The sequence below is a fragment of the Homo sapiens genome, chromosome 4 (genome assembly GCF_000001405.40).
Source record: "Homo sapiens chromosome 4, GRCh38.p14 Primary Assembly".
Taxonomy (NCBI): Eukaryota; Metazoa; Chordata; class Mammalia; order Primates; family Hominidae; genus Homo; species Homo sapiens.
Genome location: NC_000004.12, coordinates 121,201,651 through 121,227,883, shown reverse-complemented (window position 1 = coordinate 121,227,883; position 26,233 = coordinate 121,201,651). Strand labels below are relative to the sequence as shown.

The following is a 26,233-nucleotide window of genomic DNA, read 5'->3' as shown; positions in this document are numbered from 1 at the left end:
ATAGGAAGATGAAACACAGGAACATTCCTAGAAATGAGTGTGTGACCTATGTGGTCCTTACAGTAAGTTATACTAATTCTAAATTTATGTTTATGTGTTGTGGCCCTATTAAGCTGATCTAACTTTTCCATTAAGTGGGCAGGTAGATTTCCTGTAGTACTCCTGATTGCCTGAAGAGGTATACTGTTTTCTTGTGTTTCCATTACAACATAGAGACTAAGAGGGAATCCTCTGTGGTATTTTCACATAGGTTGTGAATCTTTTATCTGTAGGTTGTATTTGTATCTGAGAGGTGAATATTAATAGTCTCTTGGCAGCAGAATGACTTTCTTAAAAAAGGGGTTTCCCTGTGTATGGGTGGATTAACCTTTCAAAATACATGTTTCTACTTAAACCACTTAGTTACTGTTTGATTCAAAGAGTCTTAAAGACAGGTCTCCGTATTAGACCTTGTAATACGCTTACCTAGATCTGAGAAGGACTTTCAGGATAGAACATGGTGAGTAACATAATGTCTTGTGCCTTTACTTTCATTTCGCTTACTTACCAGGGTTGGTTGTAACTTAATTTCTTTTTTAAAATGCATAAAGTTCTCATATTAAAAAGACATATATAACTGATCAGGAACTCAGTAATATTAACAATTAAGATAAGGTTTTATGTGTTCCCGGTGAGAAATAAGATAGAACTTGTTGTAAATGTAATAATGCATGGTGTTTCCTTTACATTTTTTATTTTACAGCTTTTGTTAGTTAGCCCCTTTGTGCACATCAGATAAAATAAGCTTTGGAAATGACACATTTAACTAAGTGAATGTTACCCTATTTGCTTTATTACTTCTAAAAATCCTATAAATAATAACTAAATGTAAGTACTTATATGAATAATTATGCTTTCCCTCTTGGGATATTACAGGGTTGAACAATCTTGATTAAGCAATGAGCAGAGCCAGCATCCATTTAGTGTGTTCCTCTGCAGGGGACATTTTTCACCGTGTTCTTCATGGTGCTATAGAATCACATCAATGGGGAGCATAAAACATTCTAAAAGAATGTATTTCTGAATATAAAGTTACTGGACTGTTTTATTTAAACAGTCAAATTTCCCAAACGAGATTGCAAAATAAACTTCCCTAGGAATAATTTAAGTGTGAGCAGTTAAACTATCCTGCAAGGAAGGTTCATTTTAAAAGCCAGCAGTAGACAAAGGTAGACTAGATGCTTACAGGCGCAGTGCTGATATTTCTTGAATCTGATAACATTTGCTTTCTGGCTTAACCGCAAACTCCCTGCTGTGAAATGCTGAGAACTTTGTTCTTCTTAGGAATCTCGATCAATGCCCTGTGGCAGAGACTCCCAGAGTGTCCTTTCAAGTGGCACTGCATGCACAGACCTGTCCCCACAGTGGAAGGCCTGAATCAGGCCTTAACCTAATGAGCAAAAAGCAAATATTTGTGGAATGGATCAACGTTAACAAACTATTTTCAGATATGATCTTCTCAACTTTTTTAGTGTATTTTTTATATCAGAATTTTAATGAATTTTTAAAGTCTAGAAGAGAAAAACATTATGCCTTTTCATTTTCTCTTTTCCTTTTCACTCTGTCTCTCTTTCTTTGTGCCTCTGTCGCTCTCTCTCTCTCTCTTTCCTATGTGTACCTCTGCCTCTGTCTCTTTTCCTGTCACTCTCTGTCTCTGTCCCCCTTTGTCTATTTCTCTCTTTTTTGTCTTGATCTCTCACTGTGCCTGTTTTTCTGTCTCTCTCTCTTTCTGTCTCCCCTTCTGCTTGGTCCTACTGTCTCTCCAAGTATATATTTAATTATCATTGGCTTCCAGTACAATTCTCTCAATGAAATTTGCAGCCATTATACAATTTCCCAATTTTAATGACATTAATGAGGCATGAATGAGGAAGAAATAATAATTTTTAAACATGGGAAATTGACTGTTAAATATGACTCCTCCTGTTAAAGGAACCTAAAGCACATAGCTGTCAAAGAGACCTGTGGCACAGTGTAGAAGAGACAGGCAAAGTTCCCATTTATCTCATCAGTCAAAGTCCCTGATTCCTCAAAAGTCCTGGGGGCCTCCTTGTCCAGGTCGGGGGCCAAGGTAGAGAAGGAGTGAGAAGGGGAAGGCAAAGGTGCTTACTAAGTTTTTGGCCAACTAAATACTTCCTGCTGAGGATAAAACCTTAGACCTCACTTTGTTAACTTTTAAAAATTGCTCTTTAACACTTTACTCTTTAGCTCTTTTTCTAAACACTGCTTTCTTGTTAAGATCAGATAATGATGAATTATTAGAGGAACACCTATTACTCATAGTTGTACTCCCATCTGTTTGGAGTTGTGACAGTTTGGATCTTTCAAATATTTATTTCATGAAGGATAAAGACCTTAGAACAAAAAGAAATCACTTTTCACGTGTACATCCACAAGTCTTAAAGAAAAAAACAAGAAGAAAAAATGCTTTTCTAATGAAATTGCACAGAGCATGAGTAAAAAATCAATTATATTTGAAAACATGACCAAGATTAAATATCTCCATTGTTTTGAAACAAAGACATCATATGGGGGGAAAATATTCTAGCGGTTGCAAAGCACAATCCAAACAAATGAATCTCTTGATTAATCTAAGTATGTAAAAAACCTTGGATGACAGTCACAAGGGGCAATTAGTACATAGTTAATGGATCATTGTGATAAGTAATAAAAATTAGTCATTCTCTGCCATTGCTAATCTGACATGTATGAATTCTGCAAGAAGAAAGGATATAGGATGTAATGTAGTCTTAAGCAGTATAGTTAATAAAATACATTTGAAGGCAAATGATCCCTTTCTCAGTTTTCAATTACATCTTAAATTTCAAATATGGTGAAATGTTTCCTTTTGATGTGAATAAATATAGATATATAGATTACAGCCAGATGACTCTCGGACACAGTGTATGCTGACACACTATATTCAGTATGCTGTTCAGTATGTTGTCATTTTTTTTCAATATTAGAGAATATGTTGTCATTTTCCCCCAAACTCTTTACTTAGAAAGGTGTTCAAAAATCTTCTAGGAAGATAGTTCACATTTTTTAAATTACGAAAGGCAAAACAATTATAGATATTAAAATAAGAGAAAAATTGTTCAGCTTAACTTTAAGCTATAAAAATCAAATTTTATTTATAATGAAAAGAAATACCTAAAATCATTTAACAGAAAAAAATGAGTAGAAAGATTATCAACTTTAAAGAGTTTAAGGTAGACAAATTAAAACCTGCCTAAATATGGGTGAAAACAATAAGATGAATTTCTAATTAGAGAGTGTTCTGTCACTTGTTTAAAAGCAATAAAAATATCAAAAAACATAACCATGAACAACATGAACATTAAGGTATAATTAGTCTGAGAGGATCTTGAGCTTTACAGGTAAAAGCCAAAGTGTGGATTCTGTATCGGAAGTCCAGTGCTCAGGGATCAAGTCTCATCTCAACTTTTCTTTTTCTTTTTTCTTTTTTCTTTTTATTTTTTGAGACAGAGTCTTGCTCTGTTGCCCAGGCTAAAGTGCAGTAGCACAATCTCTGCTCACTGCAACCTCTGCCTCCTGGGTTCAAGTGATTCTCCTGTCTCAGCCTCCCAAGTAGTTGGGATTACAGGCGCCCACCACCACATTCAGCTAATTTTTGTACTTTTAGTAGAGATGGGGTTTCGCCACATTGGCCAGGCTGGTCTCAAACTCCTGACCTCAGGTGATCTTCCTGCCTTGGCCTCCCAAAGTGCTGGCATCTCAACTTTTTATTATCAGCAGAGAGCACTAATTAAAATCAGAGAGCTGAGATCATTCATTATTATTCATTATTATAATTGAACAGTCTTCCATTTATTTTCATTTGAGGAATTGAGACAGCATAGTTCTTTGTATTGATGTTTGTTAATCTGGGGATAATCATTGTGTAGCCTCCCGTGGTTAGATTTAGCACAACTGATTGATTTTAATAGTAATAATGTATGTTTTTTTGAAAGAATAGTCTCTGATATTGCTTCTATTGCTGAAAATTTGATGGAAATCAGAATTCATTATACTCTTTCCTCTTAGTTGCTAATGATCTGTTGACAGGAGTAGAAAAACTAGTATTACAATTATGCATATACCTACTGTGCTAATGGATAGGGAAGCTAAGAAAGGTGTTCAAGGACACAGCTCTGGCTTCTGCTCTTCATGCTCTGAATCTCATAAAGCTATGATGAAATGCACGTGTGATAATGAGGCATTTTTACCTTTTCTAGTTTCTGTGGAGCCTTGTAAGGTCTAAATAAATGTGGTGGAATTTAAATCTTGTTTGATATTCAAAACTCACTGGAAAGCAAGTAGCAAAAGTGATTTTCTTATAGGACATGAATATTATTGTGTGTTATTATTTAAAACCATCTTTCAGCTACTTTACCATGGAAATAATGAGAACGAATCCAGCATTAAAGTTTGAATTGTTTTTGTACAAGACCAGGTTTAAGTTTGGTCATTGCTTGCTAAACTGCATTCAAAATTAATGCATAGTTATAAAACAAAATTTATTACTTCAGAACAAAATCCTGGTATGCAAAGATATCTGATAAATTGGCTCAGGCTGTCCTTTACTTCCCTTTCAAGCGGGTGAGCATCTGCCTGGAGGAACTGATACAGTTAGCAGGAGGCTAAGGATGGGCCAAGGCTGGCACACCTGTAATGGATATGAAAGCGATCCGTTACTAGTTTCACCTGAAGCATATTCTCATAAAAACAAACACACCTGGCTGGGCGCGGTGGCTTGCGCCTGGAATCCCAGCACTTTGGGAGGCCGAGGCGGGCGGATCACGAGGTCAGGAGATCGAGACCATCCTGGCTAACACGGTGAAACCCTATCTCTACTAAAAATACTAAAAATTAGGCGGGCGTGGTGGTGGGCGCCTGTAGTCCCAGCTACTCGGGAGGCTGAGGCAGGAGAATAGCGTGAACCTGGGAGGCGGAGCTTGCAGTGAGCCAAGATCGCGCCACTGCACTCTAGCCTGGGTGACAGAGCGAGACTCCGTCTCAAAAAAAAAAAAAAAAAAACGCACAAAAAACACCCTCAGCTCCACATTTTCATGATTTTCAGCAGAACAACCAACAATTAATAACTAATAACATGTATAATAACATTTATGTCCCATAAAAATCGCTTTCTCTACAGGCTTTCCAGTGAGTTTTGAAGATTAAACAAAATTTAAATTCTCTCACATTTATTTGGAGCTTACTATCTGCCATGCAACACTAGAAAAGTCACCTTATAGTGCAATTGAGGTGAAAGTTGCTTGTAAATGCAGTGTCTTGTTTAATCATTATGGACTTTTCCTTGAAGAAGGGAAGTGTTATCCTTACTTTGTAGGTAAGGACAGTGGGGCTCAGAGTATTTAAATAATATGCCCAAAGACATATAGTCTGTTAAACGTGAGAGACAGATTTGAATACACATCTTTTGACTCTAAACCCAATCATCCTTCCAATACACGTTTGAAAAAGCGAATTTGTAATTTGGGGTGCTTTGATGAAATTTATCAGTAGAAATCCACAATACAGGAATATTCCCAAATAGAGCTGAATAAAGACTCAGAACAAGGATATGCTCATTTTTCTGCAGAATGAAGGAACATTCTATGGAAAACTAGGTCCTCTTCGCAGGGGAAGAAATTCACTAATATTTCACTAAGCCTCTAAGATGCATCAAGAGCAATATAGCAACATTGCAAAAATCCTAGGATGACCAGTTTTCATAACACTTAAGTATTAGGAGCACTCTTAGCTACTATAATGTACAATCTGTTCTCATTTTAGAGCTGGTGATCGACATTCAGGGACAAGCAAATGTAGTGATAGCCCTGGTGACAGACAGAATCTTAGTCTCCTGACTCCTGGTTCAGGAACTTTTTTAGATTCAGTCCTCAAATGTCAGTTTTGCATGAAGAAGAAATGCAGGTGTTCTGATGTGATTGAGCTGTAGAGAACCTGTGGTGGCAAAAAACTTTACTGCTATAAAACAAAAAGACTTCTTAGAAGGAAATAGGTGATGAAAGTCCCCTGATTTGACACCTTTCTCAGAAATATGAAGTGGAAAAAAAAATAGTTACAGCTCTGTTGGGTAGTTCTTTCTTTTGGTTTAGCCAAACGATGTGCAGCCAAAAATCTCTTTCTTGTTCTCAATTTCCCTTGAGCCATTACTGTAAATGAGAGTGGTGTGTAATTTTCCTCTCCTCCAATTTCTTCCACACTGTAATCAAAGGTCCTTAAGTACCTGTTGGGTATAGGAATCTTATTTGCTAGAGGAAATAAATGAATTAAAATGTGTAACATATCCTTTTTTTGAATATCATTATCATATTCTTAACAACATTGAGCATTTGCCTCATTTTGCATAGAAATTATCTGAAATCTTTTATTGCTGTTTTAGCTTTGTGCTTGTAAATTTAGGTTAGTTTTATAGTCACGTGATCTGCTTTACTGTTCCTGTTTCTAGGCTAAGTGAATTCCTTTTTCTTTTTTAATATTTATGGAGATAAAATGACTGATAGGGAACTTTAAGGATAAAACTTCTTGAACATACAAACTGGCTATTTTATATATTAAGAGTGATTTAGACTGAATATTAAAGATATTATTAGAAAAACATAACCAAGGTTTTATACTAAAAATGTTATAGTTCTTTACATTTCTTTCTTACCAATAATAGCAAGGATCTCAAAATGTTGTCCATTATCATCCACATATTGGCAACAAATATCTCAAGCTTTGGAAACTGCAAAAGGCCATGAGAATTGCTAACAGTAAACCAAAAATTTTTAAAGAGCATTATGTTTTATTTGTTCTCATTGATTTTTTTAAACAGAATTTTAATACCTTTGGGGAGGATATGTCTTCACTTACTCACCACAGCCCCTACCACCACTTGTCACCAATTTATGTCAGCTTCCTGACTCTGCAGGCATTTTCCCACTCTTGACTGAACGTATTGCTCTTTTTCATCCCCTACTCAGCCAAATCACAGCAGGAACGAATCCTGCTGTCCATTCGCTCAGTAAAACACACAGACTGGCACTTAAGGCACGCTGAATGCTCACAGCTAAGGACATTCACTTATTTCTGACTCTAAAAGTTAAGTGGTACGTTTACCCAGGATCAGCTTTGTTTATTCCCCCACGCTATTTATGACAATTTTACTTTTTTGCCATTATATATTTAAATAAAATGTATATAAGCCGATGATACATGAGTACCAAAAGGTTAAAAAAAAACATTGTTTCAGTACAAGCTAGTTTTAGCATCTTGGAAACATCTAGTAAAGGTTAAGTTACCAAATTTGAATTGGATGATGGTGAGGGCAAATACAAAAAAAAAGTAGTTAATTATCATAAAAACCTAAAAGCATTCTGTTTTCAGATTGCTTTATGTCTTAAAATTTTTGCTCCCTTGTAAAGAAACCAAAACTAGAATTCACCAAGGATTTATTGTGGGCCAGAAGACACATGTGGACAACCACTAATAGATCTCTCCTTAGAAAACAGAGCCTAGCAATGATGTTCACCTATGTATTTTCAGTGACATTAAATTAATATGGTATTAATGTATTATTCTTCATGAGTCCCAGCTTTAACTAATATTTTGATTAACTGACTGCCTACCTGTAGGTCTCTTATGTGATCAATAAGAAAGCTTTTCATGTATTCTTAAATGGTATAATGTCATTTCTAAAAAATTAATATAAGTACTTTTATATCTGTAAGCATGTGAATGTACACATATGTATGGTTTTCAGCCTATTACTTTATAGAATCTTTATTATTTATTATATATGGATACAAGGATAGTAATTTTCATGATGGTTTAGTACCTGATGAGGACATTTTATCCTAAATGTATTGAACCTGGTTAACATTTAATGTTAATTTAGTAAAGATAGTGAAATGAAACAGTTTCCAGGAAGGTATTATGTGTTGTAAATTGTATGACCCAGAAAGAAACACATTTTATTTAAATAAATATGCCTTGTCAGCTTCTAGTCCTTTCTACCTTAAGTTTTCATGCATTTGATTGTATGTGAATTACATTTGGACACCTCTCAATGTATAACATAGACTTGAGCAACATAAATGTAAACAATAGTATAAGAATTCGTTGGTAATTTTTTATATAACATTTTCAAGGTCTGTAAAACCTATGTGAGTAAACTTTGAGTATGACTGGTAATACGAACACCCTGCCCTTGAATCTGACTTTAGAAATCCAAGTATATTAAAAGCTGTCACCAGAAATGTCCAAAAGCTCATAAAACTTGGTTAACTTCCAAAAGTAAGTTTATCCTTCAAAGTTGGGTTATTTTGGAACTATGGATTGTGTAAACTTCTGCTTAAACAATCAAACAGCTTATGATCTTCACTGATGTGCTGAAATGCATCCAAGAACAGAGGACATCTTTCGGCTAAGTGAAACAGAAAGCAACAGCTGCTTCTTTAGCAGTATAGGAATTCCTTAAAAAAGAGGAAAAGGAGGAGGAGGGAGGAAAAAGGAGAAGTAATCAAAAGATGGAAACAAAGACATGTGTTTGCTTTTAGCTTCAGAGGATGCTCAGCCAGTTGGATACTCTTACTTCTATGGGTTTTTTGTTTGTTTGTTTGTTTGTTTGTTTGTAATGGAGTTTCATTCTTGTTGCCCAGGCTGGAGAGCAATGGTGTGATCTCGGCTCACTGCAACCTCCGCCTCCTTGGTTCAAGTGATTCTCCTGCCTCAGCCTCCTGAGTAGCTGGGATTACAGGTGCACACCACCACACCCAGCTAATTTTTGTATTTTTAGTAGAGACACCATTTCTCCATTTTGGTCAGGCTGGTCTCGAACTCCTGACCTCAGGTGATCCACCTGCCTCGGCCTCCCAAAGTTCTAGGATTACAGGCGTGAGCCACCATGGCTGGCCACTTCTGTGGTTTTTAATTGTAAATCTTTTGGTTCTCAGAAATTTTATGTGGCTATAGCTAGGGAAAGTAGTGCACACCTGTAGTCCCAGCTACTCAAGAGGCTGAGGGAGGAGAATTGCTTGAGCCCAGGAGTCCCAGCTACTCAGGATCCTGAGGGAGGGGAATTGCTTGAGCCCAAGAGTTCAGAACTATAGTGCACTGTAATGGTGCCTGTGAACAGCCACTGAACTCTAGCTTGGGTAATATAGTGAGACATCGTCTCAAAAGAAAGAGAGACAGAGAGAGGGAGAGGGAGAAGAAGAGGGACGGGGAGAAGGAGGAAGGAAGGGAGGGAGGCAGAAAGGAAGGAAGCAAGGAAGGAAAGAAGGAAGGAAGGAAGGGAGGGAGGGAGGAAGGAAGGAAAATAAACTATTGGAAATTATAATTATGCCTGGGATATTGACTTTTCTGATTGTCACTGGTTAATATTTTTACTTCCTGGATAGAATAATAACAAATGTAAAATTCTAGCCTAGGAAAAGGCAATTTAGGAAGGAAATACAATGTTCAGTAAACTAATTAATGTCTTTGAGACCATTTCCATCTTGTCTGTTTCCAGTGCCTCTAAGATATTATTTGTAAATCTTAAACTATACAATATTAAATCTGGAGATTTCCCTTTGCACATGCCATTTTTGGGGTGTTTACTACCAGAGTTCAAATAATACAATGACATTGCCTAAGAAATATAGTGTTATGATGTTGTATCTGTAATGTAAAAATTTTGTAGGTTAGTTTTAAAATATATTAGTATTAAAATATATCAGTATCTAATTTTATTTTATTTCAAACTTAAAATTTCCTCTGTATAATTTTCAGTTATGAACAACAATGGAAGATCATGACTAGGAGTCAGATGGTTTGGTGTTTAATCCTAGATCAGTCATTAATTAGCCAAGTCATTTGTTTTCTCTGGAGTTCTGTTTCCTCTACTGTAAAATGATGGCATTATAATTCTTAGCGTGTTCTCCACAGTGTCAGATTCTATCATTCCCTGATACTCCAGGACTCCATGTGTAATTTCGCATATGCTTGGAAATTAGCATTTTAACGGTAATTTTTGAAATAGTGAAAGAATATAAGACATTTTAAAAACCTTACTACAAATTTCTTTATTAGTTAAATATTTAAGCCTTCATGTTTCAGAAATGGACACTTATTGCAGTCACTCTATCAGATGGTTATCACTTGGTTTCCTCTTCAACATATTTGCAGAATTGTGTAATATCTCCAGCGTTCCATATAAACAAGATGGGCAGTTTTGCAATTTTGCATTTTTAAAACATAGCTCTACTAGTTGGTGGTCCAACTCCTCCAGTCATCCAGAAAGGCATTTGCTTTCATCTAGTAACTGGCTACCATGGTGGTAACAGATGATTTTCAAACAGCTGTCACAAGCCGAAAACAACACAAAACAAAATAAAAAGCCACCCTCCAACACTATGTACAGCCAGCTTGCCAATAGCTGAAATGAATCTTTCCTGGAGCATTTTAACAAACTTTTTTTTTTGGTTGTTGTTACAATTAAACAGAAATGCTTGAAACTCAGACAAACTGGCTTCGTGTTTCCCATGGGCCTAACTCCTAAATTTTCTGATGGGTTCTCAGCAATTGGTGGTTTCCAGATGCATTTAAAATGTGTTAATTGCCTGCAGGAATTGGCTTTTAAAGCATACACAATTCTTCAAATTCTTCAATCTCAAGATTCTACTGTAAGTCCCATGACATACTATGTAGTCTGTATAATATTTGTCCACAGTTTGGTGCTTAAGTTGCACCAAACTTAAGTGAAACTTAATAATAAATTTAAAAAATGAGAAACAAATTCTGTCGGAAGTACAGTTTTTTTTCTCTTTTTTTTCATTGTCCATTACCACTTCCCTTGTTACCCTGAAAATCATAGAAATAATCATAAACTCCTGTTGGAGAAAAAGCTGGCATGAGCGGTCTTCCTAGAAGAAAGCTGCTGGTGTCCTGGGGTCAGTAGGCACTCCTGGAGAACTCATTCCTAGACTGGGGTTAATTAAACTACAAACATGTCAGTCTGACAACTTTAACCGTTCATGCTCTATGTATTAGAATGTCTAGCTTTCTTTTACTTGCTCCTGGACAATTTCTCCCTGTCATGAGATTCTTCCTTAACTCACTGAGCCTGTGTTTACACCCAGTGGTTTACCTTTCATTGAAACTAGGCAGAAGGCAGGCTTGTGGTCTGTCTTCTCAGGTCTGGCAGGGCTGAAAACAAGACATGAGAATAAAAACATGGCTTTTGATGAAAAATGCATTTAACAGGTGGTTTTCTCCTTTGGTGACTGACATAGTTAACTTCCCTTGACGTACATCTGAGCCTCATGTCCTTCATATTTTTTTATTTTAGATTCCATGTGGATGGCTCATGAACAAAAATGAGAAACACGACGATAAACTGGTAATGTTCACCAATCAATCTGAAGATTCTGAAAGGTAATAACAGTTTATTTGGAGATTATATGCTTCTAATACTAATATTCTAATTAGAGCACTTCTGCTTTGTGGCAATGATAGTGTATTAAGAGTAGAAGAGAAGCTGTCTGAATGGAGCTATATAGAATAGAAAAGGAAAAGATGACGGGTAACAGTATGGCCTATCTATCTGAACATATTTTCTTTTATTGCTATCCAGAGGGCAAAAGTCATGGTAGGTTATGAAGATAATTTGATTTTTAAAGTATTTGTAAATTTCCATTGACAAGCCTTGGTGGATGGTTTTTCTGTAATTGCACAAATTTTTCTCCTAGGAAACAACTGTATTCCACCAGTAAGTTGAAGGAGTTGCTGTATCTTTTCTCCTGATTTGCTTAATCCTTAGCTCACCTGAAGGAGGGTGAGAAGTTTACTGAGTTCCTTATGAAAAAAAATCCCTTACTTAGGCGCTTTCCACATTCTATCAATCTTTCAAAGTTTTTTTTAAAGCCTCCTTCTATTCGTTGGTTCAGTTATTTCTTTTTTTTTTTTTTTAATGTGGCACCTAATACATGCAAGATATTGTGTTTGTTACTTGCAGAAGAGGAATCAGATTCAGACCCTATACTCAAGCTGCTTGAAGTTTAGAAGTGAAAAGCCATGCAGATGCCTAAGCATCATATATGGTAGGATGCTCTGCCTCATAAAAGAGGCACAGATAAACTGTTCTTGGAAATCTGAGGAAAGTGAGATTTCCAGAGAGTGGGATAGAAATACACGAAGAAGTGCTTTAACCTAATTTCTGGTAAAGAGAAACAGGAGAAAGATGGAAAAATAGAAGGAAAGGCTATTCCAAGCTGAAGGCAGAATGTGTACAAAGACGTGGTGGTAGGAAAGTCACGTATTTGTGTCTGGATCAACTAACAGTTTGTTTTGGCTTCCACAGGTGGTGTGTAGTAAAAAGAAGGAAACTCAGTTGATACTCTCTCTTGAGTGAGAGACTAAATAGCTGAGAATTTATTCTACAGGCCAATATTTCTGTTTATAAAGACAAAACTTCTATTTTGTGATACCTTTCAAGTGAAAGATAATTTCAAGAAATAATAATGATCAAGTTCTCAAGTCAGTATTTCTTAAACTAGGGTTCTGAGATCCTGTGTGTCTGGAGTCATATTCTCAGATTCTCTATGAGAACGTTTTCATTAAAAGAGGCCCATCTGTACTTTCAATATGAAAATCATGACTTGACAAGGGGTACCATTAAGAATTTTGAGCCAAGGATTTCCAATAGGCTACTCTAACAATAGTGTTTAAAATTAATTGGAAAGGGAAAAGATCTGAATTTCAAATAAATATAGAAATATTGATTTCTCCCATTCACCTCAATCAATTACATTCAGTATCTTTAACAAGCATTTTAGCCTTCAATTGTATATAATTTAGCATTTTCCTGTGCACTATACTTTATTATTCTAGAACTGTGTTGGGTGTGTAAGTCTCTCCTTGTCAATATGATTTTACCTACCTCAACGGAAAGACTCGACATGCAGCAGAATACTCCCCTCAAAGACTGTGGGTCTACAATAAGCATTGATCTGTTTTATATACATTTGAATAAAATATTAGTAAAATTGAAATTTACATCACAGGAGTCATTTAAGGATGAAGTTATTATACTGACAACCTCTAAGATACTATAGGCATTACAGAAGCAAAAAATATATGATGTGATGTTGAACAACTTCTAGGAAAGATGATACCCATCCTCCTTTGGTAGCAGAAGCATATGCTTGGCAAAATTTCACCGTGTAGACAAGAAAGAAAGAAGGAAGGGAAAAAGAAAGGAAGGGAGAAACCTATTATTTCTAAGAGGTAGGGGCAATCCTCACCCGGCCACCTCTCCATATTCACAAGCCATTTCCTTCTACATGGAGAATTCTGAGGACTTTGTGTGAGCTCCTGAGTCCCATTCTCTTGCCTCTTCTCCACAGCCAGCAATGCAATTTACTGTTTAGTTCTATTTAACAATGATGAAAATTATGTAGAATTTAGTAGTTAACATTTTTTCTACAGTGGTTAAAAATTTGTATTTCTGAAAGAAATAGATAGGGTTAGGTTCTTTAATAGTAATCTAAAATGTTCAGAAGCTGGTTTTCAAGTTGCCTTCTAGGGTGTATATACCCGGAAGTGCAGAAGGAAGGATGAGGGATGAGGCAGTGAGGCAGGGGCCGCGGTCCATGTCTTTGTCTGAGGGAAGTGGGAAAGAAGAATAAAGACAAGAGGCGAGAGCCAACAGGACAGGAAGAGAATAGTGAGCACCTGAGTCATCTTTCCCTCTATCACTCCTGAACTGACTCCTTTCTCATTGAAGTGCTTTCGGTCCTACGTATTGATATTATGGTTGCCACACCAGGTTTCCTTTCAAAGGAAAATAAAGGAGCGGAAGGAATACTTTTGATTGTCAGTATGGGGGATTATCAAAGTAAACATGATGTTTTATAGTTTTTATATTTCCCTTTAACACAGTTTTGAAGTATATTGTTATTATGAAAGCAGTCCCACTCAACATGTATGATCCTGGGGTCATCCTTTTTTTGAAGTACTCTTGTAATACCAGTTCCTCATTTTAATATTTTAATTTTTCTAAAGCAGATGCTTTCCTGTGGTAATATTGTAAGAAGAATGTCTTTTTTTGTTTTTTTTTTTTTTGAGACGGAGTCTTACTCTGTCGCCCAGGCTGAAGTGCAGTGGCACGATCTCGACTCACTGCAAGCTCCACCTCCAGGGTTCATGCCATTCTCCTGCCTCAGCCTCCCTAGTAGCTGGGACTACAGGCGCCCGCCACCACGCCCGGCTAATTTTTTTGTATTTTTAGTAGAGATGGTGTTTCACTGTGTTAGCCAGAATGGTCTCGATCTCCTGACCTCATGATCCACCCGCCTCGGACTTCCAAAGTGCTGGGATTACAGGCGTGAGCCACCGTGCCTGGCTGAAGAATGTCTTTTTTTAAAAAAAATGGATTATGCATTCAGAAAATTATAATTATAACCATGCAAGAAAAATGACTATGATTCATTTTAATCTGAAGTAGAGCTCATCTCAGAAGAATGAGATGACTTTGTGTTCTCATGAAGTGACCCTTTTACCTGGCATTAAATTCATTCACAACAGCAGTCATTCAACCTAATATTAAACAGGATCGAATGCCATCAGTTTTTCATGCCTTCTGGTAATGATATGGTGGATTTCAGATGCACTTAAGGAGCTCTGTGTCTTTCTTCATATTCAAGTCATTCAAACGTCCTTTATGTAAAGCATTGGTGGACATTAAGAAAATTAAACAATACTTTTGTCTTTTTTTCTCCATGTGAGTAGCATACTCTCTTCCAGATGCAACATTGAGCAGCCAAACAGCTGCTGGCTATTAAAAGTCCCTTAAAGCTCCATTTTTTTTTCTCGTAAAAGGAAGAGAAGTGTAGGAATGTTTATGGAGTGACAGGCAGATGTTTTAGTTGTACTATGTATGTGCTAAGTGAAAACTAAAATGATCTCTTTTATGATATCATAGGCATTCTTACAATTCTTTTGGCCTCTTTATTTTTAACCCCCTTCTTACCTGACTCTAAATTAAACTATTCTGGAAAGGCAGAAGAAAGAATCATTTATACAGTTGCGGTAAGTTAAGTTTATCTCACACCTTTTCATAAAGACAGACATCCCTGAAAATGTATCTTCCGTCCATTCATATTGTTTTGTTAAGTAGAAGAGAACCTTATAGTTTGAAGAGCTAAATAAAAGTATTTTTCTTTTCACTAAACAAGCAGCAGCACTGATGAATAAGTATTTTTAATGACAGGCAAAACATCATAGACCAATCATAATTTTTTTCATAAATTTTACTAATTTATTTGCAATTCAAATTTGTTAGTTTTTCAGAAATTACATGTCTTCAAACTAATAAACATCAAAGTCACATTGGGTTTCTGGACAATAGACTAAGTTTCTTCTCTTTCCACACTAAGAAAGCAGTCTCTCAATCTTATTTATTTATATGTAATATATTAGATGAAATTAAGTTTTATTGGATGGATAAATTCACAGAGATTTGAGACAAGGAGCTTTGGGACAACTTGTGCTTTGAACCAGGCTCTGTAAAGCACATTTCAGAAAAGCCTCTTCCATGCAAACAACGCCCATGGGATAAACACAGATTTCCATATTTTGAGGCCTACCTTATCCAGAAGGTCCAAGAAGATATTTAGAGTACACCTTTTGTTCTGTCTGCCTTGAATACTTTATGCTTGCATAAACTCTTGGATTCAATGTAGAAATCACTTGTAAGGCTATTACTGTATGCCAGAAAGTGTTTGGGAGATGTTGAAAAGAATACCAAATTAGAATTTTCCCAAGAATCAACTTAGCATTTTTCTGGGAAGTACTGGTACCAGCATAAAATTTGTGTGTCTAGAGACTGGAAATCACTCAGCTTTTACTTCCATGGAAATGTCTTTGATAAAAGCTGTGGTGGCACAGAGCTTGCTTGGAGGTCTGTAGGAGGCCCCAGGCAGGCCACAGACAACCTGCAGCCAGCTGAATGAATTTTAAATCTGTCCTTTCTGTGTGTGGTAACTCTAAGGAGTTGCTCTCTTTTTGCAGAAGGCTTCAGAGTTTATGCTGAAAACATCTCTGAGTTGATAATTCAATATACAGACCCTCCATGGCAGTACATTCCATTTCTGTGGCTTAAATTTGAAGCAGTTTCAAAGCCAGTTAATATAATAGAAGGTATTGCATTAGTAAAATTCTAGTTTTCAGGGCAATTTGGAAATACCAAATTCACAACTCTCTGTGCTACTCTGACAGGAATTTGTGTAAATGCACTAAGTGAAGAAATAATGGGGGAAATGAAGAGACTAGAGTTTGGAAAATTCAATTTGGCTTTGGTTTGAATCTTTCTGTTTTTATTCCTTCACGTAAATTGAAAATTTAAATGTAATATCCTCAGTGAGTTGAGTTTTCATCCCTTGTAGGCTTTGGCTTGGGATATTACTTATGTCTCTGTTCAAATATGAGTTTAGAGAGTAGGCAGGTTACATTGAGGATTTGTTTTGAATACCTTTTTATTCCTCTTTTTAGTATTTTATATCATTTGCTAGTATTTATATTGACATAAGACTCTAGCTGTCACTTCATATTCTAAATATTCTGCTCTGTTAGTTAAATTGGATCATAATTATTTAAATCACACATCACCCCTCTTTCCAAGACAACTGAACTAGAGAATCACTTTTCAGTTTCACATCTAGGAAATATTTCTATGTCAGGGACATTTCTGCTTTCCAAGTCCAGTTATTTTCATTGTTCTAACCATGTAAGTTCCTTTATTTTCTTTATATTACCAGATCAGGGTTTTCAATTATGACAGAAAATACCAGCATACTAAAATGCAAAATAATATTTATTTTAAGATCCAAACCATTTGATGATTTCTCTTTTTTGTTTTCATTTTTTGCTGTGCTACATCATACTTTGTTTTAGAACACAACAGTGGGACTGAATTGTGTCCCCCTAAATTCGTATGTTGAACTCCTAAACCCCAATGTGACTGCATTTGGAGATAGGGCCCTTAGGAGGTAATTAAGGTTAAGTGAAGTCATAAGGGTGGGGCTCTGGTACAATAGGATTAGTGCCCTTATAAAAAGAGACACCAGAGAGCTTGCTGTCTCTCTCCACACATGCACAAAGAAGAGGTCATTTGAGCACACTGCAAGCCTTGAAAAGAGGCCTTAGAATGAAACCTACCTGCTGGCACCTTGCTCACAAACTTCCCAGCCTTCAGAACTGTGAGAAATAAATACCCATTGTTTACACCCAATCTATGCTGTTTCCTTATGGCAACTCAAGAAGACTAAGACACTATTTATGCTACTGGTACTTAATAAGGATTTTATTTGCTTTTCTTGTTGATCTATAATGATTTCAGAGGCTGTGTGAAGGAGTTTGGCTTAAGCAGCTATTAATATCTAATAAACATCTAGAAGTCCAGGCAATATATTAGAAGATATTCCCTTAGGGGACCACCAATACTTCTGTTATTCAAGATATCATTACTAAACCTGATTCAACTTCAGGCTATTAAAAAATGTTCCAGAAAACAAGGACTTATTTTATCTCTATGTAATAGTAATTTTTCCTTTCTTTATTATAAATTATAATTCATTAAAGGATGGTGAAATACCTTTTCATCCATGGGCTCAGGGCACCTCATACCTACCCTTTTGAGCAAAGGTGATAGCAAAAGTTCTTATTTATTTAGAAGTGAAGAGCATCCACTATCTCAGTGACACCATTTAAAATCAGTATTATGGTTAAGAGTGTGGTTTCTTGAGTCAGACTCCCTGAGTTCAAATCACGCTTCTTAGGTAAGTCATTTACTCTAAAACCTTAAAATACTTCAAATTTTAATAATTTTCTCTTTTCTTAGAAGCACTCATGTAAAATTCAGCAAAACTCTATACATTACTAGAAAAATGTGCCACCAACTAGTTTTTTACAGTAAGAAATATACCATAAGAAGTACGTAGAATAGTTCTTGGCCTGCAGCAAACTTCAATAAATATTTGTTGAGTGAGTGAATAAAAGTTGCATAACTAAAATGATCAATAAAACATCAATAAAATAATATAATTGATATTTATCTCTTCCTATTTGGAATAAAAAATAGAAGATCTTGAATCTTCTGTATTTGTTTAATGGAGCTTCAGAGGTACAAATATGTGTGATATTTGCCATAACTTTATTGGTCTGAATTTACAAGGCTAATCTGGAGCCTAATTATTTCCTCTGGGCTCACTGTTCCTTCTAGGAATAATGCTGCTTGCTTGAGTTCATTTAAGCATCCATTATACCCAGTGTGACATCTTTTTTCTGACCACAAATGCGTAGTTTTTTTCCCACAACTCTCCATGCCAACTATGTGTCCAATAATTCAATTTGGTGTTGACACTACCAGAAGTTAGTACAGACCCCACATGTTAAGGCCTCAGTCCCACAAGACTGCCCACACTTCAGAGGCCAGTTATAAGTCCAGTGACCACCCATACTTCTGACCAACATGCTACAAATTCAGAGGTTACCACAACCCCATCCTCAGGTTTGGTAATTCATGAGAAGGACTCACAGAACTCAGGAAACACATGTTGCCAGTTTATTATTAAGATACAACTCAGGAACAGCCAGATGAAAAGAATCCAAAGGGTGAGGCATGGGGATGCTGTCACACAGCGTCCTCGCCCTTAACAAACCTGCCATCTTCCCAGCACATCAATGTGTTACCAACCAGGAAGCTTTCCAAATCTCCTTGCTCAAGAGTATTTATATCCATACAGAACCCAGTAGACATAAATTTTTTAAGAGTATTTACATCCCAATGTCCAGCTCCCTCCCCTTCCTGGAGATTGGGGAGCTCCCTCCCCTTCCTGGAGATTGGGGAATGGAGCTGAAAGTTCTTACCTTCTAATCACAAATTTGATCTTTCTGGCGGCCCCACCCTGAAGCTCTCCATGGATTCCACCCTGACAGACTTCATTAGCATAACTTAGGTGTAGTCCAGAGGACTGTATAGTTAAAATAACAAGAGACAGTCATTCTTATCGCTTAAGAAATTCCAAGGGTATCAGAAGCTCTGTGCCAGGAACCAGAGACAAAGAATGTATTTTTTATTATATCACACCCACTTTTAACAGCCCAATGGATTCTCCTTGCCTGTTACCTAGACAAAGCCAACTTATCAAGACAGAGGAATTGTAATAAAGAAAGGATTTATTTCAGGCATAGCCAGCTGAATGAGAGACCAGTTTTATTCTTACTCAAATCTGTCTCCCTGAAAATTCAGGGATCAGGGCTAAGGATAATTTGATGAGTAGGGGATTGGGACATGGGTAGTGCTGATTGGTTAGGTTGGAGATGAAATCATACAGATTTGAAGCTGCCCTCTTGTGCTGAGTCAGTTCCTGGGTGGGGGCCACAAGACCAGATGAATCAGTTTATTGATCTGGGTGGCTCCAGCCGACACATTGAGTTCAGGGTCTGTAAAATATCTCTTCCTGGGTTTTACAATAGTGATGTTATCCCTAGGAGCAACTGGGGAGATTTCGAATCTTGATGTCTCTGGCTGCATGACTCCTAAACCATAATTTCTAATTCTGTGGATAATTTATTAGTCCTATAGAGGCAGTCTGGTCCCCAGGTAGAAGGGGGTTTATTTTGGGAAAGGGTTGTATATTAGTTCATTTTCATGCTGCTGATAAAGACATATCTGAGATTGGGAAGAAAAAGAAGTTTAATTGGACTTACAGTTCTGCAAGGCTGGAAAGGCCTCAGAATCATGGCGGCCGCAAGAGAAAATGAGGAAGATGCAAAAGCGGAAACCCCTGATAAAACCATCAGATTTCAGGAGACGTATTTACTACCACAAGAGCAGTATGGGGGAAACCACCCCCATCATTCATATTATCTCCCACTGGGTAGCTCCCATAACACATGGGAATTATGGGAGTACAATTCAAGATAAGATTTGGGTGAGGACACAGCCAAACCATATCAGGTTGTTATCATCTTTGTTTCAAAGTTAAACTATAAACTAAATTCTTCCAAAGTTAGTTTGGCCTACATCCAGGAGTGAATAAGGTCAGCTTGGAGGTTAGAAGAAAGATGGGATCAGTTAGGTCAGATATCTTTCACTGTCATAGTTTTCTCAGTTATAATTTTTATAAAGGCAGTTTCAGATTTTTGGTCTCCTTGTCTACATTGCTCTCCTCTGTGTGGCTGCCATGCCCCAAATCTGCAGGCTTATTGTTTTTATTAACTAATATCTTAAGTCAGTGTTAAAGTAGTTAAATAAAGCATTTAAACATCACTGAAATTATGAAATAATACAGAAAGTAAGATTTAAAGATATCTGCGTACAATTAATTGCCTAATCCATTAACATTTAACTATTATAAATCATTCATTGACATATCCTGGTTTCTATGAAACTTTAATAGATTTAAACTTAATGGAATTTTCTTGATTTTCCTGGGACTTGTTAGTTGCTCTTTTTAATTTAGAAGTTTCTGCTTTATAGCTGTCAATGCTTAATGTCTATTTTATGCTTTGAGTTAAAATATGTCATTGATCATTGTTTTTTACTGATCTTGAGGCTTTTTTTCTGTACTTCTGAACAATTCTCTGAATATTCAGGCTTCCTTCCTCTTCTTCAATTTCCAGTCATTAACAACAGCAACAAATAAACAGCAAGCAAAACAAAACAAAACAAAGAACCCCAGATCACACATACTATATTTTCACTAATATGATCTTCCATGACTGTTTTTTTCCAATGAAAACATTTTCGTCTACCTGATCACATTTTTTTGCCTTAGCTGTTTGCCCTTTGGAGTCTATATTTGAACTTATTTCTATTTTAAATTGAAAAGTTGATATTTGAATTCATGTACAACTCCCATGAATTCAAAATTAGGTAGCTCTGTACCCTCAGGAGCTTAGTGCAAGAAAGAAAACATGGCTGGGCTCAGTGGCTCACACCTGTAATCCTAGCACTTTGGGAGGCTGAGGCAAGTGGATCCCTTGAGTCCAGGAGTTTCAGAGCAGCCTGTGCAACATGGTGAAACCCCATCTGTATTAAAAGATAAAAAAAGAAAAAATTAGCTGAGCATGGTGACATGCACCTGTAGTCCCAGCTGCTGTGGTCTCAGTTACTCAGGAGGCTGAGGTGGGAGGATCTCTTGAGTCTGGAAGGCTGAGGCTAGTGAGCTGTGATTGCACCACTACACTCCAGCCTGTGTGACAGAGGGAGACCTCAAAAAAGAAAAGAAAAGATAAAACACACACACAATATATACAAATGTAACATCTCAACACCTTTAAATACATTTATATTTTAAAAGCCAGAACAATAAATTTATGATAAAATTCATGTGAGCATAATGAATAATTTACAGATTATTTTTAAGGAACAAGTTGATTATCATCAAATTTAACTTAACCGAGGATCAGGGAATAACAGCTCCTTCCTAATTGTGTTAAGGAGAGGATTAAATGAGATAACGCATGCAAAGTGTTTAGCAAAAGGTTCATTTTGATTAAGACTTGTGTATTCATCTACCTAATCAACATGTCTACTTGAGAAGTCTAAAAGACATCCCAAGTAAGAATCTCCTAAGACTAGTCTAAATTTGCTCTTCTTTTGGTCTTCCCTGTCTGATATTGTTTGGCTATGTCTCTACCCAAATCTCATCTTGAATTGTAGTTCCCATAATTCCCAGGTGTTGTGGGAGGGACCCAGTGGGAGGTAATTGAATCATGGGAGTAGTTACCCCCATGCTGTTCTCAAGATTTTGAGTGAGTTCTCAAGAGATCTGATGATTTTACAAGGGGACTTCCCCCTTTACTCGGCACTTCTCCTTCTTGCCATCCTGTGAAGAAGGTGCCTTTCTTCCCCTTCGCCTTCCGCCATGATTGTAAGTTTTCTGAGGCCTTTCCAGCCATGCAGAACTGTGAGTCAATTAAACCTCTTTCCTTTGTAAATTACCCAGTCTCAGGTATTTCTTCATAGCAGCATGAGAACAGACTAATACACTGTCTCAATAAAGGGCAACTTTATTATTTCCAGTTTCTTAATCTGAAAGAACTTGGAGGCATCCTTGAGCTTTTTCTCTCTTTCCCTTTTCCCTCCTACTGGCTAAATTCAAATTATGCCCAGAATCCCACCTTTTCTTTCCACATCCCTCACTACCATTCTGTCCAAACCACTAGCATCCCTAGCCTGCATAATTTCAAGAGCTTCTTAAACTGTCTCAGTACCTTTACATATGCTTCCCTACAGGCTGTTCTAAACCCACCAACGAGAGTGATCTTTCCAAACTATGTCACATCATATCCCTCCTTTGCTGAAAACCCCCATTCACTCAGAGTAAAATGCAAAGTTTTTACAATGCCCACGAACCTCCTTGAACTGGCTCTCTTTTACCTTTCTGGTTTAATCTGCTACAATCCCCCTTCTTACTCCCCCAACTCCAGCCATATTTTCCTTCTTGCTGTATGTTGGAAAAACCACACAAGCTCTAGCCTTAGAGATTTTGCACTGGCTACCTTTACAGGGAATGCTCTTTCCCCAATAAGCCACATGGCCCATACTACACCTCCTTCACTCCTTGCTCAATTGTCACCTTTCAATAAGTCCCACCTTTGATCACTCCATTTAAAATTGCAATTCCCATCTCCCCAGCTAACACCTCATAACCCTGATTCCACTTACATTGCTCTATATTTCTTCTATGACACCTATTACCTGTTAAAATGCTAACTAGACAAAGAACTACTACAAATGGGAAAGGGAAAAGACACCCATAATGAAAAATCAGTCAAGAACCAGAATGAACAATTACGGAAGAGAAAAGCAAATGAATAATGAACATACTGAAATATGATCAATATCACTGGTAATTAGGAAAATACAAATTAAAACAATGGAATTCTTTGGTTGGCAAATATACCAATAACACCTAGGACTGACTTCAGTTGTAGGAAAATAAGAATTCTTACACATAGCTGATAGAAATGAAAATTATTGCAACCAATTTAGAAAATAACCAAGAAGCACTATTAAAAGTTTTAATGTCCATACCCTTGGACCCAACAATCTAACGTTGGTAAATCTATTCTATATAAATAAAATACTAGTATGTAAGAATATATCTAGACAGGTATTTCTATTGTGCATTGATTGTAGTGACATCAAGAAGAAAAAGTAATTAGAAACAACTTGCTATTCCATCATAGAGAAATGATTAAGTTGTGAACCCTGAAAATCTGAGACAAGTCTCAGTTAATTTAGAAAGTTTATTTTGCCAAGGTTGAGGATGCACGCCTTAGGAGGTCCTGATGACATGTGCCCAAGGTGGTCAGCGCACCGTTTGATTGTATACATTTTAGGAAGATATGAGACAACAATCAATATATGTAAGACAAACATTGGTTTGGTCTGAAAAAGGCAGGACAACTTGAAGTGGGTAGGGAGCTTCCAGACCATAGGTAGATAAGAGGCAAATGGTTGCACTCTTTTGACTTTCTGATTAGCCTCTCCAAATGAGGCAATCAGATATGCATTTATCTCCATGAACAAAGGGGTGACTTTGAATAGATTGGGAAGCAGGTTTGCCCTAAGCAGTTTCCAGCTTGACTTTGCCCTTTAGCTTCGAGATTTTGGGCCCTAAGATTTATTTTTCTTTCACAAAGTAAATTTGGTCCATTCATAATTTTCAAATATTATTTGGCTATTTAAAATAATTAGAGCAATATGTATGAACTGAAGGAATAGTCAGAGATTTTTTCATAAATGCAAAATAACCAAATAGCAGAGTTATATATAATACAATATTTGTTTTAATATTAAATATTTAATTTAAAATATATATATATTTTAAAAAGAAAGAAAAATATTTTGTGTATTAGTATATATATATACACACATATATTGTATATATACTCTACTTATATTTGTATAAACACAGAGAAAAATATGGAAGAATGATGTTAATACTAATTATCAGAGTAGAGTGGAACTGAAGGAAGCATAAGAATATTGTTAACTTTTTTGTGTTCTCTAATGTTTGCTTGTTAAAATGGGTGTATTTCTATAATGTAAAATATCCATTAAAAAATAAAACAGGCTACTATTTGAAAATACATGGTCCAATAACCTGATAAATAAGTTTATGTATTATATCAGATGACCTAAGTTGTTTTGAATGTTTTATTTTAATAGGTTTTTGGGGAACAGGTGGTGTTTGGTTATATGAGTAATTCTTCAATGGTGAATTCTGAGATTTTGGTGCACTATCACCCGGAAAGTGTACACTACCCAATGTATAGTCTTTTATCCCTCACCCCTGTCCCATTCTTTCCCCTGAGTCCCCAAAGTCCATTGTATCATTCTCATGCATTTGAGTTCTCATAGCTTAGCTCCCACTTGTGAGTGAGAACATATGATGTTTGTTTTTCCATTCTTGAGTTACTTCACTTAGAATAATGGTCTCTAATTCTATCCAGGCTGCTGCGAATGCCATTATTTTGTTTCTTTTTATGGCTGAATAGTATTTCATGGTATCTTTCTATCTATCTATCTATCTATCTATCTATCTATCTATCTATCTATATCACATTTTCTTTATCCACTCATTGATTGATGGGCATTTGGGCTGGTTTCATATTTTTGCAGTTGTGACTTGTGCTGCTATAAACATGCTTCTACAAGTATCTTTTTCATATGATGACTTCCTTTCCTCTGGGTAGATATCCATTAGTAGGATTCCTGGATCAAATGGTAGATCTACTTTTAATTCTTTAAGGAATATTCACACTGTTTTCCATAGTGGTTGTAGTAGTTTTCATTCCCAACAGCAGTGTAAAAGTGTTCCCTTTTCACCACATCCATGCCAACATCTATTATTTCTTGATTTTTTTGATTATGGCCATTCTTGCAGGAGTAAGGTGGTATTACATTTTGGTTTTGACTTGCATTTTCCTTATAATTAGTGAATTGAGCATTGTTTCATGTTTGCTGGTCATTTTTATATCTTCTTTTGGGAATTATCTATTCATGTCGTTAGCCCACTTTTTGATGGGGTTATCTGTTTTTTCTTGCTGATTTCTTTGAGTTCCTTGTAGATTCTGGATATTAGTCTTGTGTTTCATGTGTAGATTGTGAAGATTTTCTCCCACTCTGGGTTGTCTGTTTACTCTGCTGATTATTTCTTTTGCTGTGCAGAAGCTTTTTAGTTTAATTAAATCCCATCTATCTTGTTTTTGTTGCATTTGGTTTTGGGTTCTTGGTTATGAAGTCTTTACCTAAGCCAATGTCTAGAAAGGTTTTGCCAATGTCTAGAAAGGTTTTTCCAATGTTATCTTCCAGAATTTTTATGGTTTCAGGTCTTATATTTAAGTCTTTGCTCCATCTTGAGTTGATTTTTGTATAAGGTGAGAGATGAGGATCCAGTTTCATTCTTCTACATGTGGCTAGCCAATTATTCCAACACCATTTGTTGAATAGGGAGTCCTTTCCCCACTTTATGTTTTTGTTTGCATTGTCAAAGATCAGTTGGCTCTAAATATTTGGCCTTATTGCTGGGTTCTCTATTCTGTTCCCTTGGTCTATGTGCCTATTTTTATACCAGTACCATGCTGCTTTGTCAGGTCACTATGGCCTTATAGTGTAGTTTGAAATTGGGTATTGTGATGCCTCCAGATTCATTCTTTTTGTTTAGTTTTACTTTGGCTGTGTGGGCTCTTTTTTTGGTTCCATATGAATTTTAGGATTGTTTTTTCTAGTTCTGTGAAAAATGATGGTAGTATTTTGATTTGAATTGCACTGAATTTGTAGATTGCTTTTGGCAGTATGGTCATTTTCACAATATTGATTCTACCCATCCACGAGCATGGGCTATGTTTCCATTTGTTTGTGAGATGACCTAGATTTTTATCTCAATGCTTCAAAATAATGTGACATTTAAAATAAATTATATGATTTCAATGTTGGAGTTTAGGCAGTTTCCTTAATTTACATATGAGGAAAATGTGATCCTCATGTACTGATACATAGCAGATTCTTGATATATAACTGTTGAATAAATGAATATGTGTGTATTAATTAATATACAAATGAATGAGCTAAGTAATTGCCCAAATCATAGCTAGTTGGTTAATCTAGAATACAACTCTTCTG

General features: G+C 36.3%; 1 protein-coding gene across 6 annotated transcripts in view; it reads left to right on the top strand.

Annotated features, from left to right (window-relative positions):
• Positions 1-400: 400 nt before the first annotated feature.
• Positions 401-26,233, top strand: part of TNIP3 (TNFAIP3 interacting protein 3) — a 96,076-nt gene continuing 70,243 nt past the window's right edge. For 5 of the 6 annotated variants that reach the window (NM_001244764.2, XM_047416182.1, XM_011532257.4 and 2 more), the window contains exons 1-2: positions 401-499; positions 11,384-11,469. In NM_001244764.2, coding sequence (NP_001231693.1) covers positions 497-499; positions 11,384-11,469 — 89 coding nt within the window. In that variant the 5' untranslated portion in view covers positions 401-496. Of the gene's footprint in view, positions 500-11,256; positions 11,299-11,383; positions 11,470-26,233 lie in introns of those variants that run through there. The other variant, NM_001128843.2, reaches the window with a different exon arrangement.